Source organism: Homo sapiens, chromosome 5 (assembly GCF_000001405.40).
Source record: "Homo sapiens chromosome 5, GRCh38.p14 Primary Assembly".
Classification (NCBI taxonomy): domain Eukaryota; kingdom Metazoa; phylum Chordata; class Mammalia; order Primates; family Hominidae; genus Homo; species Homo sapiens.
The window spans coordinates 135,853,473-135,867,976 of record NC_000005.10 but is presented as its reverse complement, the minus strand read 5'-3'; the positions used below and the strand labels follow the sequence as shown (position 1 = coordinate 135,867,976).

Below are 14,504 nucleotides of genomic sequence, written 5' to 3'. Positions count from 1 at the left end.
GCCTAACTATCCTCTCCTGATTTTCAAGGTAAAACAACTCTGTGATATCATGAGGTGTCACTCATTGAGAAGCAACCTTTCTCTGGGGCAGTGGTTGTAACTTACAAGTCCATCAGCACTAGCACTACCAATAGTGGTATGGATGATTCATATTGGGTCCACAGAGCAGAATGTCATCAAAGGTAGTTATTATAATTCCAAGCATAAATATACCTGAGATAAAAATGCACCACACCACCACCATTGGTGAGGCCCAAAGTCCAACAAACCTAACATGATGATGCACTTATAGTAATACTGATTTTCAATTCAACAGCAAGAGTAGGAGCCATAGAAAACTATGACCAGTATAAGATAGCCCTGCTGATGAATAAACAGAAGAGCCTTCTTCTGGAAAACAGCAGAAATCTCCGCCAGTGGCCCATGTGGTGCTAAGTGCTCTCTGGCTTGTGGGGGTGGCAGAGCCGGGGGGTTGCCAGGAGCCTCAGCAGATAGCCTCAGGAAAACACTGGATCGGAGTTCTTGGTACTCTGATACCATGGGACCAATTTTAGTTTGTGAAAACCCAATTTTGATGACTCTTAAAAGCTGATTTGAAAAGTTACTGGTAAGTCAGTCTTGGAAATATGCACAACTGAGATCTCTGGACTTGCAAGTCCTTTGTCCAAGGAACCTGAGGAAGACTACGAGGTGCCGGATCAGGACACAGCTCACAGGAAACTGCCAACTCCCAGCCCATTGTTTCTGAACCTTCAGGGTGTACATGCATATGCGAAAGGATTGGCATTAGATATATATCCTTCTCAAGCGAAGTGTACCTAATTTCTCTAATTAGAATTTTTTATTCTGTAATGAGGATTAAAACATTAATCAAATTTTGATCTTTTTAAAATCATGAATGCTTTGCATTTGAGACCAACTTTTGCTGCCTCTCTAGATCAAGGGCATACTACCTTTTATTAGGATAGATATGGATTACGTACCTCAAAAACTGCTGCCTCTCTAGATCAAGGGCATACTACCTTTTATTAGGATAGATAGAGATTATGTACCTCAAAAACTCAGGAGGCATGTGGTTTCCTTCATTTCCCCAACTTCAGTTAGGGCTATCTCAGGCCCCCTGCACCTATGTAACCAAGACTAGCAAGATGTTCAAAGTCAATGAAAATAGCAACCCACTGCCGTAGGAAGTGGAGGAGGGCCCAGGCCTCCTGCCTTGTCCAGCTCAGTCCCGGCCAGCACACCTAAAGCCACAGGCCATGGCTATCTGGCTCTGCAGCTCTCTGTGAAGTGCCAGTGCCTTACTGCTGGCCTCCTGTTTGGCCTGGGAGGTCCCTTAGAGGTAGATGCCTCTTCAGGGAGTTTTATTTTGGGGTGTGGTGGTTGTAGGTCCAGGTTTGGCCAATCCTAACAGGTACCAATACAGCCATCTCTTAGGGGACATCCAACTTCAGAAGGGCTGAGCTGGGCTGGACACAGACAGGAGACACCAGCTCTACCACTATTGCCCCTTTTCCAGAACCCAGGGACCCAGCCACAGAAAGTCACTGTGCCTTCCTCAGACACAAACACAAAGATGTTCCATTTATTTTCCTTTCTCAGTCAATGCTATTCAATGTCTTCAATGGGCCATGACCTTGGAAACAGTAAGGCCAGCAGAAACACAATGGCTGGCCACTGAGGGGAGCAGGGCTGGCCCTCAGGAGCACAAAGGCCTGGCCACTCTCTGGAAGGGAAAGTGCTCCCAGCCTCCTCTGCTGTGTGGGTATGTCGGTATGTGGGTGGTGGGACAGGGAACACAGCATAATTTCTCAAGAGGCCACTTTCTACAGAAAATCCTTCACAAATCAGCCATCCACAAATGAGGCCCTATGGGTCACTAGTCAGGGATGTGTGGGTTTTCACGAGGGTTCTATTCCAGTAAGGCTCAGCCAGTGGGAGTCATTTCAAGGCACCCCACAATCCATGAGCATTATGCATTGACAGAATTCCTACAATGTCTCACACATACATATGTGCCCATTTTTCTCATATGTGTGGGTACTATCACAGGTAACACAATAAGATTTTACTTAAACATATTAGTAATCCATAGTAGCTTCCTTACATATTTGTTTTCTTAGTCCACGAACTCTTAAAAGTACAGCTGCTGTTCGATGGGTTGGACCACATTTTCCATATTAACAAGGCGCTCTTAGAAAAAGGTCCCCACAGCCCATGCCTGAGGCTGTGCCCCCTAGTATGGCTTGCCTCTGTTGCTACTGTTTTCTGAGTGTGTTGTTTTGCCCTTAGTGTGGCGGTGAGTTTCCTGATGACAGGAATCATACACTATGGCCCGAGTCCCATATATATCTCAGCATCTACTCCATGGACAATGGAGCGCCTGACTTAGGCAGGTCTCAGCACTCCCAAGACTCACACCCTTGGCATTCATCAAAAGTCTGGCCCTGACTGATCCTTGGGTCAGAGGCTTTAGATATTAAAGGAAATTCCAAAATCAGGGTCCCACCTACAGCACTGCTTAGATTTGATGGAAGCATCAGTAACATGGCTGTACATCCTCCAGCAGACAGGCTGGCTGTAACATCCTCAGTTTGGGTTTGAGCTTGAGCAGGCTGGTGGACCCCTCAGATCACTTCCCAGGATATTACCAGCTGGGAAGCTCCTACCTAGTTCCTGTTTCTAAGAGTCCAGCAGTTTCCTCATGACGTGAGAGGCCCAAGATAGGCAGATGCTTTCATAGAAAGAGCCCTGGATTTGCATTCCTATTCAGTTGCTACTTAATGTACAACCCCATGCAAGAGATTCAATCTCACTGGGTCTTAGTTTCCTCATGATCTGTGAAAGGCAGAGAATAAGTGGCCTGTCCACCTCATTTGGCTTTTATGAACATGAAAAGGGAATATTGACAAATGTGCTTTACTGAAATACATGCCATGCAAATGTCCCTTACTCAAGGCAAATAGTTCTTATTCCTATTTTTATCACCATGTCCTTATATGACTCTGGATTCTGGAAGTGCCAGACCTGCCAACTGCAGGCAGCTGTGACCTGCAGCCAAGTCTACTGTGGGAGATCACTGTTGCCCACATGGGGCCAAGAATGACCAATACTGGTGTTAAGTCCAGAAATCAGGACAATACTTGCTGTTGTCAATTGCTTTAAATAAACCATGTGTCACCAATGTACGTAATTTGTACAATGGTGTAATATGCACTATCATTAATGTCTGGTAACTATGTGGGACAACTGTTTGAAAAGGACAAACTGTTCAAAGGGTTCAAACTAGTCAAACCGTTCAGAACAAGGACTTCTTTGGAACTGCATGGCCATATGCTTGGCCTCTCCACAAACCTCCTCCCTTCACTCCTGGGCTGCCATTGCTCCAGCTCTCACTTGCTGTTGGCAACCCACAGCCTACTTGAGAAGGCCCAGGCTATACAGGCCTGGGTTGTCTTCAGGATTTTGGGTCCCTTTTCATGCTCCAAGGGTTCCTGCCTTTCTACATAAGGTTTCATCTTTAAGGGTTGTGTGTCCCTTCAGGGATCTTAACATCAATAACCCCTACCCTGTACTGGGAAAGTCTTGGAAAATCTGCTGTTCCTTCCCAAGGTCAACCTGCCTGGAGAAGAATATTTTCCTTGGTTGCCACACATCTTCAAAGTAGCAATAAAATATTGCTAAAGAGACAAATGGATGCACTCAGGGCCTCAGAGGTACAGCTGATGACCTCCCAGCCAGGCAACTCTGAGGATTCAGGGAAACTAGAGAAATGTTTTTGCCTTATTTTGTCACCATGCAGATTCTTGGGCTCAGATGGCTTTGTGGCTGAGACCCCTCTTGGCTGACCCTCTCTGCTGTTACCATCCAGCCCAGCTTGTCTGCTCTTGTCATGTCCAGAAATTAGAACCTTCTTCACCTCAAATCCTGGCCCCACTCTGATTCCTTTCTATCCATATGGTCTTCAGTATGATGGAGCCAGGGCTTCTGACATCAATTCCCTCAACTTCCTCCCACTTGCCCTCAAGAATCTCTCTGCATTTTTACTTTCTTTCTTCTTCTCTCCCAACTTGGAAATGAACGCCTTTTCCTTCTCCATTGCCCTCTGTCTCTGTCCCCATCATCACCCCAACTTTAGCATTTTTCCCCTCCACATGCTCCTTCCTCCTACTTCAGTAACACCAGTTTCTCAGGACTCAGTTTCTAGGGGTCATAGAGTTGCACAGCCTGGGGTAATTCCCCACCTCCCCAAGGGATAGTTATGTGAGCATGGACAAATTATGTAATTCAGCCTCGGTTTTCTCACCTGTAAAATAAAGATGATAAGTGGGCCTATTTCATAGGGTTGCTGTGATGATAATGGAATGGGCATTAACGTGGTATAGCTCAATACATGGTATGAGCTCGATAATTTTAACTGCAGTTATTAGTGTTACTGTAACTCTCTGCTTCTTCCCAAATTCCTTCACTAAGTCTTCTCTTTGCTGCCATCCTCTGCCTTATTTGCAGCTCGCTTGGTGTTTGCATCTAATGTTATGACCTCAACTGTCACTTCTATGCCTATTGCACTTGTGCCTCTACCTGCAGCCCTGATGCTTCCAGGTGCAATCTCACAGGCACCTCACACTACATAGACCAGGCAAAACTCATCCTCTTCTCACTCAAGTCTGCCCCTCCAGCAGCAGCCACAGTAAGCATTGATTGATTACCTGCTCCATGCCAAGAACCGTCTTAGATGTTTCATTTGCTACTTAATTCCCTGTGTGGGGGGTTCCACTTGTCTCATTGTCATCCAACTTTGGGGTCTTTGGTCATTTTTGACACTTTCCTCTCTCCTGCTTATGCCTAATGCTTGGCCTGCTGCTTCTATATCATCAGGGCCTCTGCATCTGCCACCTGTCTCTGTTCCCAAGCCCAGGGCCCCAGGTCTGTGGCTATAGCCTTCAAATCAATCTACCCACTTCTACAATTCCCACCACTCTTCTGCCCCTTCCAGAGGCCAGTTTTCTCTTCTCCAACACCACTCTGATTGCATCATTCTGGTGTCCAAAGTGCTTCACTGCCTGCTGAATATAATCTAAGCCTATCCTCAGCGAAGAAATCCAAGCGCTTCCCAACTTACTCCACATCTTCCAAAACCCCCACCATCCCTGCATTGCTTGTCTGTGCTAACCAAAGGCTCCCTTGTCCCACCATGTGCCTACATTTTCCTGCCACTAAATCTTCCCCTATGTTGTTCCCACAGTATTAAAACACTTCGCCATCCCATGTCCCCATCTCTAAATGCTACGTAGAACTAAAAAACCCGATCAACAGCCTCTTCCTTTCTGGAGGCTTCCTGATCCACCAAGCCAGAGTCAGGGGTTCCAAAGACTTTCCTGAGGCCTTTCTCATTGAAGCACACATCTGGCTCCCCACTAGACTGTGGACACCCTGAAGGCTGTGGCTTCCAGCGCTTCTTTACCCACTGTGTCTGCCTCAAAGCAGGGGCTCAGGAAATGCTTGTGAATGAACAGTTCACAGTGAATTCAAACAGGTGTAAACACTCATCTCCTTGCCTCCAGTTGGGCCTGGTGCAATGATTAGGATAGTCAGCACAGAGTTAATGTTCAGTCCTTCCCTGATCCTCCCAACTCCAACCTCCTGTTATGTGGAGGGCTTTGTGATCTGCACATTAATTAGTCTTTCAATGGAAAAACAGATCTAAACACTCCCAGATGGGGGAGGAGTGAGTGTCATTAGCCATGAACTTCTAGGAAGGACATGGCTCAGGCAGCAAAGGGACTACTGGTCTGCAGGGTCACAGCCCTGACTTCTAGCTCAGGCTCAACAGGCCACCTAGTTAGGCTTATGCCCAACAGGCCACCTAGTTAGGCTCATGCCCAACAGGCCACCTAGTTAGGCTCATGCCCATGCAAAGGGCAGTGATTTTAAAAGGAAGGGTTTTTTCACAGGTGCCTTACTGTCACAGGCACATACAACTGAACACAGGCCAATGTCTCCTTGCTTGCCAAGTGGCAGAGGCCCCAGGAGAATACCTCTGTTAATTTGGAAGCATTTACATGGGGGCATAACTACTGGTTATTGTGCAATGGTAGTCAGTGTCAAATGGAAATTCCCTTTAAATGTAAGCAACTGCTTATATGATTTGGTAAAACTCTTCTGGATAACAATTTCACAATATGTACCAAGAATGTTAAAAATGGCCACACCCCTTATCCCACTCATGAATCAAAGAGCCCACACATTTAGGGAAATAACCCTAAATAAAGAGAACTCTTTATGAATATATTCGCTGATCATACCACTATTTTTAAAAGAGGAAAAACTGTAAACAACCTAAATATTCACCATTAGGAAGATTGTTAAATAATACATTTACTGATAATTAACATTTATTTCACATTTTCTATATGCCAGACATTGTGCTGAGGTCTTCATGTATAATACATTTCATTGCATCCCAGCTATAAAGTAGCTACTATAGTTATGCCTGCTTTGCAGATGAGTTAACTGAGGCTTGGTGACATTAGGTGAGCTGTCTAACCTTTTTTGGGTTCAGTGGAAGTAGAATTATAAGCAGGTAGTCTAATTCTGGAAGCTTAATTTTTACCATACTACATAGACTCTTTCAGTGTGTGTGTGTGTGTGTGTGTGTGTGTGCGTGTGTATTTGATGGACTAGTGCACATCCATTTTAAATATTGCCCATCTACTTAAAAAAATTTTATATGCTATTTTAATAACATGGTTAGTGTTTCTATTATAATGCTGAGTTAAAAACAGGACATGAAATTGTCCATATAGCATGATCACAGCTTCTTAAAATCTTTAATCTATGTATACAGAATGGAAAAATAAACACATTAATGTGTTACCAGTGGTTGTAATTGCATGAATGGGCACTTTCTACCTCTACTTTCAATGTTCTGTAGCTTGTAGATTTTTAACCATGGATCACCACTAAGAGACAATCAGGAGGGGCTGGCTGAATATACACTGGCTATATATTTGCCAGTCCCCCAACCACCTGAGCTGGGCTCTCACCTCAATGTGGCCCCCAGTCCACCTGTCATATGTACCAGAGCGAAGAAGCCAGAGGCCTCTTGGCACCTGGCTTCCGTATGTGAGTGCTGTCTCTCATATCACATAGGATCGCCCTGGAAGTGGACTGGCAATCCTGAGGCAGAACCACAAAACCCAATCAGTCTCAAAAGCCCTGCCCAAGGCTGCCTAGAAATGCCCACATGAGCACAGTCAACACATGGATTGGGACTGACCCAGGGCGCAGACCACAGGACTGCAGCCAGCCCCAGCCCCATTCTATGCAATTCACACAGCCTTGGGCTCTATGGTGTTCTGTTTGGTTTTCACTGAATTACATGATCATTCCAACCAAAATATCTCATGAAAAAAATCTACCTTTTTGCCTTCTCTTAAAAATCGGAGGATCCAAGCACATCAGGCCACAGGGCAACAGTCCGATAAAGTGGGGTTGTGACCACTCCCTTGGACAGGATGTGGGCCCAGCTTGCCACAGTCCCCACCACTCCCAGCTGCCTCTCAGACACTGAAGCTTACACATCAGGCTTGAACTACTGCTTTTCTAATAGCAGAATGAGGCAGAAGATAAAATATGTTCTGTGTCCAGGTTTCAATCGAAAGAGGAAAAATGAAACATAGATTAGGAGAGCTGTGGTCTCAAGAAAAATGGGAGAGGATTCACTTCCCCAGACACCTCTTCTCACTTATGAAACTACCTTTGCAAAAATTAGATCAGTGAGAAAATTATGGCAGTGGGGGCAACCTAATCTAGCCAATCCCCCTTTTGACTTTATCCTTCAAGCTGCCTTGATTATTTCTTGGCTTAGGCTGAGCTAACTTTGCCAGACATTTAGTTTATACTTTAAATGATAATCGCCCTTCCCTAAAAGTAATGAGAGGTCAACAGGCTAGAGGGAGGAGAGGAGCCTGAATTCTGCTAAGGTATGGAGGAGAGGAGCCTGAATTCTGCTAAGGTATAGACATAAAGGATTGCCAGCCATTATTTAGGAGGTCACAAGATATGCAAACTTCCCCAATTACTCCTGCCGATAACATCACTGCAGGAGTAATCAGTATTGTGAAACCTAAGATTTGCCCTTTGAGGTATCTTTTCAGGCTTTTTGCATGTCTGACACCAGTGGCACCAACTCACCAGCCCTGCTCCTGGACCCACAAACCCTGCTCCTGTGGCCTCACCCAGAAGCAACAATGTGCATAGGAGGACAATTTTCCACACCTCTATGATTGCATGCCAACCAATCAGCAGCAAGCACCCATTGCCTAGCCATCTCCATCCCTTCCCACAAACTGCCTTTGAAAAAGCCCTAACTTATAAGCCTCCTATGAGATTGATTTGAGGAATAACTCTGTCTCCCACGTGGTGTGGCTGGCCTTGTGTCAAATAAACTCTGTATTTACTGCAATGCCAGGGGAGGCGATATGATTTGGCTGTGTCTCTACCCAAATCTCATCTTGAATTGTAGCTCCCATAATCCCCATGTGTCATGGGAGGGATCTGGTAGGAGGTAATTGAATCATGGGGGTGGGGTCTTTCCCATGCTGTTCTCATGATAGTGAGTAAGTCTCATGAGATCTGATGGTTTTATAAATGAGAGTTCTCTGGCACACACTCTCTTGCCTGCTGCCATGTAAGACGTGACTTTGCTCCTCCTTCACCTTCTGCCATGCTTGTGAGGCCTCCCCAGCCATGTGGAACTGTGAGTCAATTAAACCTCTTTTCTTTATGAATTACCCAGTCTCAGGCATGTCTTTATTAGTGGCAAGAGATTGGACTAATATAGGAGGTTACATGTATGTTAGCTCCCTGTCGTGATGAGTCTCTGAGTTTTCTATCTCTAGCCTAGAGGGTTCCTGAGGAGCAATTGAAAGAAAACCACATTCCTTCTCATTTTCTGGAGGGATTCCTGGCAGAAAACACTGCCTGGTGACTTTTTGTCAGCCTCCCCTCCCTTCTCCAGTAGTTGATCCTGTCTAGCACCTGCTGCCACCAAATTCCTTCCCCCAAGCAACTGAGGGCAAGGGAGATCAGAGGGGGCAGCCCGATCCCACAGAATTCACACCCAACCCTTGGAACCCACAAGCTGTGCCCATTACTTGGACAACGTCATTTTGGGGACATGCTCCCAGCTCACTTCTCCCTAAAGTTTGAAGCTATTTGTGTGCATGACAATTTTGCGCAAAGGCCCAGGTGGCCCAATGTTATCAACGTTGTCATAACCTCAGCTTCTACAAATCCTGGGGCAAAAGCAGAGAAAGCATCAGTGCCTCTGAATCAGACCTCCTCCACCTCCCACTAAGGGAGGGACCTGGGGGTATGAAACCTCTTTGTTCCTCAGTCTCCCCATAGTAAATCCCCAGGAATTGGGTTGTTGTGAAGATTAAACATATGCCAAGCTCCTAGCATTGTGTTTGGCACACAATTAGGGTTCAGTAAACACTGGCCACTCAGCCACTACTGCCAAGACCATTCTTATTCAGTCCAGATCACAGAAACTTGTGGGGGCACGGCAGAGGTGGGTCCTCCAATCTTGGCTTTTACTCTCCCTCCATGCACTTGGTGAACCATCTTTGGCTTTGGCTTTGCTCTTTGTGCTAAGCCGATGAGCCCAGGTTCTAATGGCTCAAAGCTTTGCAGGGTTGAGAAATATTTGCCTGCAGAAACCTCCATGCCTCTTACTAAGAGCCTTCTCCAAGCTCCCAAAAGGCTGGTCTCCTGGCACACAGGGAAGAACAGAACAAACACATGTTCATTTTCTGTTGCTGCCTCGGGGGTTTATTTAAGAGAACTGGTTTCCTTCTGGCACCACAGACAAATAAACAACCTGAAGGCACAGGCCATGGGCAGATTGCCATACAGGAGGCTCGGGGAATCTTACCTATCCTGAGACATGTCAGCACCTCCCCATGGTGGAAGGACAGGGTCCCTGTGTTCTCACTGCTCAGAGGCTTACCCAAAAGACAGGGCCCTTTAAGGACAGGTGCCAGGTGGTAAAGGGCCCTTTAAGGCCCTTTAAGGATCCCTTTAAGGACTTCCCTGATGAGAGATCTGAAGGTCCCCAGGTAGGCCATATCTCAGGCTCCCATACCTAGGCAAGGCAGACCTGAGTGGCCCTCAGCACTACCTGGGCAGGTGCACAGCCCTGACCTCCAGGCTTTCCTCCCAGCCCTTCTCCCACCCTGCTCCCAAACCCTCCTTGACTCCAGCCTGACAGCCCATTGTATTTCCCTACCACCATGGTTTGTAGGCACCCAGTTCCTCTCTGGCTCTCAGCTGGATGCCACACTGTAACAGAGACAGGATGCAGTCTTTTGTTCACCACTGCATTCTCAGCACATAGCCCTGTGCCTGGCACCCAGTAGGTGCATAACTATCATCTTGGAGATACGTGAACAGAGATGGCAATCATATCTGCCTCATGCTGTAATGGTGGATATTAAAGAAGGTGATGGGTGGACAGTACCTTATGTGGTGTCTGGTATAGAGTGAGCATGTCACATTGGCAGCTGCTAATGGTGGCTGCTCAGCTCCCTAACACTGGCCAGGAGCTGTGCACCCTGCTTGGAGGCCATGCTTGGATTCAGCCACTCCCTTGGCTGCCTCCCATTCTTCCTCTAGTCTCCAAATGCTTCTAGCCTAGCTTCAGAATCCCCTATCACTCAGGGCCTGGTATGACACCATTCTAGCATACTGTACAGGGAAAGCTGGAGTGGAGGTGGGCAGGACAGAGGATAGAACAAAAAGTTGTCAAGAAACCTTCAAATGTCCCAGACCTTCTTAAGGAAAGTATTTATTGGGAAACACCTCCCTTGGCGTCCCAGCTGGGTGAGGGCCCCCAACAGATACTTGCAAACAGATATTCGCAAAGCTACCCCCATTTCCTCCCCTTCCAGGGACAAGGTGCCAGGTGGTAAAGGAGGCGGGGCTGCTTCCAGCAGCCAAAAAGCCTCATTGCTGAGCCTTTTCCAACAACCGAACCCCAAACAGTTTTAAGACGTATGGAGATTTCCTTTCCCCTAAGGCAAGCTTTTCTGAAGCAGTCGGGATAGAGCAAAGAGCCAGCACAGGGGCCTGGATGCCTGGGTTCTCAGCCTGCTCATGACAGCCTTCATTCCTCTACATCTTTGCTTATGCCTCTGGGATGGGACAGATCAGCAAAGTTCAAACATTCCTCAGAGGTGCCACCCTTGAATCAAATTGAATTGTGCCAAGACATGACCCAATATGCTGAAGATGAAGGTGAAGAACTGCCGGCCCTGTGTCTCCCTGATGGCCCCATTTGTTTTCCTGCGTCTCCCCACGTGCTGCAGTGGCCATGAGCCTTGGGGCATGTGACACACAGCCTTGGGGCAGCCAGGCCTCAGGCCCTCCATGCACCCCAGCAAGGAGCAGCAGCACCATGCTTAGAGCATGTGCAGACCCTGTCCTGGGCAGCTCCGGGGCTGGGGCAGGAGATGCTAGGCTGGGATGCTCCTGAGTGAGCTGCTGGGGCTCTGACCATGATACATGCTGAAACCCAGCCTCCCTGGGCAGAGGGGTCACACAGGGGCTACTCAGAAGGCTGCCAGGGAGAGGAGTCTTCTCCACAAGGGCCAAGATCAAGCTGGAGACTGTCAGCCCCATCAGATGTCTGAGGTGACAGGAAAGGACTCTGGGTCCATTTCTTCCATTACACAGGAAAGGACTATGGGTCCAGCCTTTCCATTACACAGAAAAGGAGCATGAGCCTCAGGAAGGGCAGTATCTAACCTGAGGAGACAGGGAACTGAGTGGTAGAGCTGAGAATCAAAGTACCTCAAGGTACTGAAATACGTCTCCTACCACTGCAAGCCTATCCTTCCTCCAAAGCCGGCACTCTCTCTGCTCTGCACAGCAAGTGCCTTCCTGTTTTTTCTACCCTCCTTTGGGAAAGCCACTGCCAGGAAAGATGCAAAAAACTCTTTCCCAGCAAGGAGGAACGAGAGATGAGGGTTTGTGGTGCAGAAATTGCTACATCGCACAACAAGAAGTGAAGCTCTAACAGGAAAGGCAAGGGCTGAAGGACAGGCAAGGGTGGGTAAGGGCAGGAGACAGGTGGTCAGGAGCAAGGCCTCGCCTGCTGCACTTCCTGGCATGTGGGCCAGGTGAGATCGGGACTCTGGGCTTTTGGATGAGACATACATGCGTATGAGTCCCAGCTCAGCTGGGGCTAGCTTCGTGCAGATGAGACCAGTGTGTTCACACAAGCACCATGCTTGGCTTAGTGCTTTGCTGTTGCCATTGTAAAATATGGCATAATTTTTGAACAAGGGGCCTTAGCATTTTGCACTGGGTACTGCAATATTTGCCTGCAGAAACCTCCCATGCCTCACTCTCACTGGTGGCTCTCACTCACCAGTGGCTAATCGTGTGTTCTTGAGTAACTACCTTAACCTCTGGGAGCCTGTTTTCTCATCTGTAAAATGGAGATAGCAGCATCTGCCTCACAGAATTGTTACAAGATGAATTATGAGAACATATGCAAAGGTCCTAGAGAGTACCTGCCACATACCAAATACTTAATCAATGACAGTTACTGCATCAGGTTAAATAGTAATAAAACCACACCTTGTTTGATTGTACTTCACTTCATTTCACTTCCCAGATATTTCATTTTTTACAAATTGAAGGTTTGTGGTCAGCTTGAGTCCAGCAAGGCTATCGGCACCATTTGTCTAACAGTATGTGCTCACTTCCTATCTCTATGTCACATTTTCATAATTCTCACAATATTTTCAACCTTGTCATAATCATTATATCTGTTATGATGATCTGTGATCTTTGATGCTACTAATGTCATTGTTTGGGGGTACAACAAGCTGTGTCCATATAAGAGAGTCAGCTTAATCATGGTTGCTCTGACTGCTCCACTGACAAGCCAGCCATTCCCTATCTCTCTCCCTCTCCTCAGGCTGCCCTGTTTCCTGAGACACAACAACTTGAAATTAGGCCAGTTTGTAATTCTACAATGACCTCTAAGTGTTCAAGTCAAAGGAAGACTCATAGATGTCTCACTTTAAATCAAAAGCTAGAGATGATTAAACTTAGTGAGGAAGTCATGTTGAAAGCGGAGACAGGTCAAAAGCTAAGCCTCTTTTGCCCAAGAGTTAGCCAGGTTGTGAATGCAAAGGAAAAATGCTTGAAGAAAATTAAAAGCACTACTCCAATGAACACACAAATAATAAGATAGTGAAATATCCTTATTGCTGGTATGAAGAAAGTTTGAGTAGTCTGGATAGAACATCAAATGAGCCACAACTTTCCCTTAAGCCAAAGCCTAACTCAGAGAAAGGACATAACTCTCCTCAATTCTCTGAAGGTGGAGAGAGGTGAGGAAGCTGCAGAAGAAAAGTTTGAAGCTGGCAGTGGTTGGTTCATGAGGTTTAAGGAGAGAAGCCATCTCCACAACATAAAAGTGCAAGGTGAAGCAGCAAGTGCTGATGTAGAGCCTGCAGCAAGTTATCCAGAAGATCTAGCTAAGAGAATTGATGAACATGACTATACTCAACAACAGGTTTTCAATGTAGACAAAACAGCCTTCTATTGGAAAAAGATGACTTCAGGACTTCATAGCTAGAGAGGAGACGTCAATGCCTGGCTTTGAAGTTTCAAAAGACAGGCTGACTCTCTTGTTAGGGACTAATGCAGCTGGTGACTTTAAGTTGAACCCAGTGCTCACTTACCATTCTGAAAATCCTAGGGCCTTTAAGAATGACAATCAATCTGCTCTGTGTGTTCTAGAAAAGGAACAACAAGGCCTGGATGACAGCACATCTGTTTACAGCATGGTTTCCTGAGTATTTTAGGTCCGCTGTTGAGACCTACTGCTCAGAAAAGAATATTCCTTTCAAAATATTACTGCTCATTGACAATGCACCTGGTCACCCAAGAGTTCTGGTGGAGATACACAAGGAGATGAATGTTGTTTCCAGGCCTGCTAACACAGCATCCATTCGGCAGCCCGTGAATCAAGGAGTGATTTTGACTTCCAAGTCTTGTTACTTAAGAAGTATATTTCTTAAGGCTATAGTTGCCATAGATAGTCATTTTTCTGATGTATTTGAACCAAGCAAATTGAAAAACCTTCTGGAAAAAATTCACCATTCTAGATGCTCTTAAGAGCATTTGGGGTTCATGGGAGGAGGTCAAAATAGCAATGTTAACAAGAGTTTGGAAGTAGTTAACCCCAACCCTCACAGATAATTTCAAGAGCTTCAAGGCTTCCATGGAGGAAGGAACTGTAGATGTGATGGAGAAAGCAAGAGAACTAGAATGAGAAGTAGAGGCTGAAGATGGGGCTGAATGGTGCAATCTCATGATAATATTTAACGGATGAAGAGTTACTTCTTATGGATGAGAAAGACAGTTTTTCTTCAGATGAAATCTACTAGTGGTGAAGATTCTGTGAATGTTGTTAAAATGAC

The 14,504-nt window shown here is 46.2% G+C and overlaps 1 protein-coding gene across 19 annotated transcripts in view; it reads right to left on the bottom strand.

The window, feature by feature from the left end:
- SLC25A48 (solute carrier family 25 member 48) overlaps nucleotides 1-14,504 on the bottom strand; it is a 309,466-nt gene that overhangs the window by 20,661 nt on the left and 274,301 nt on the right. The window lies entirely within an intron of this gene.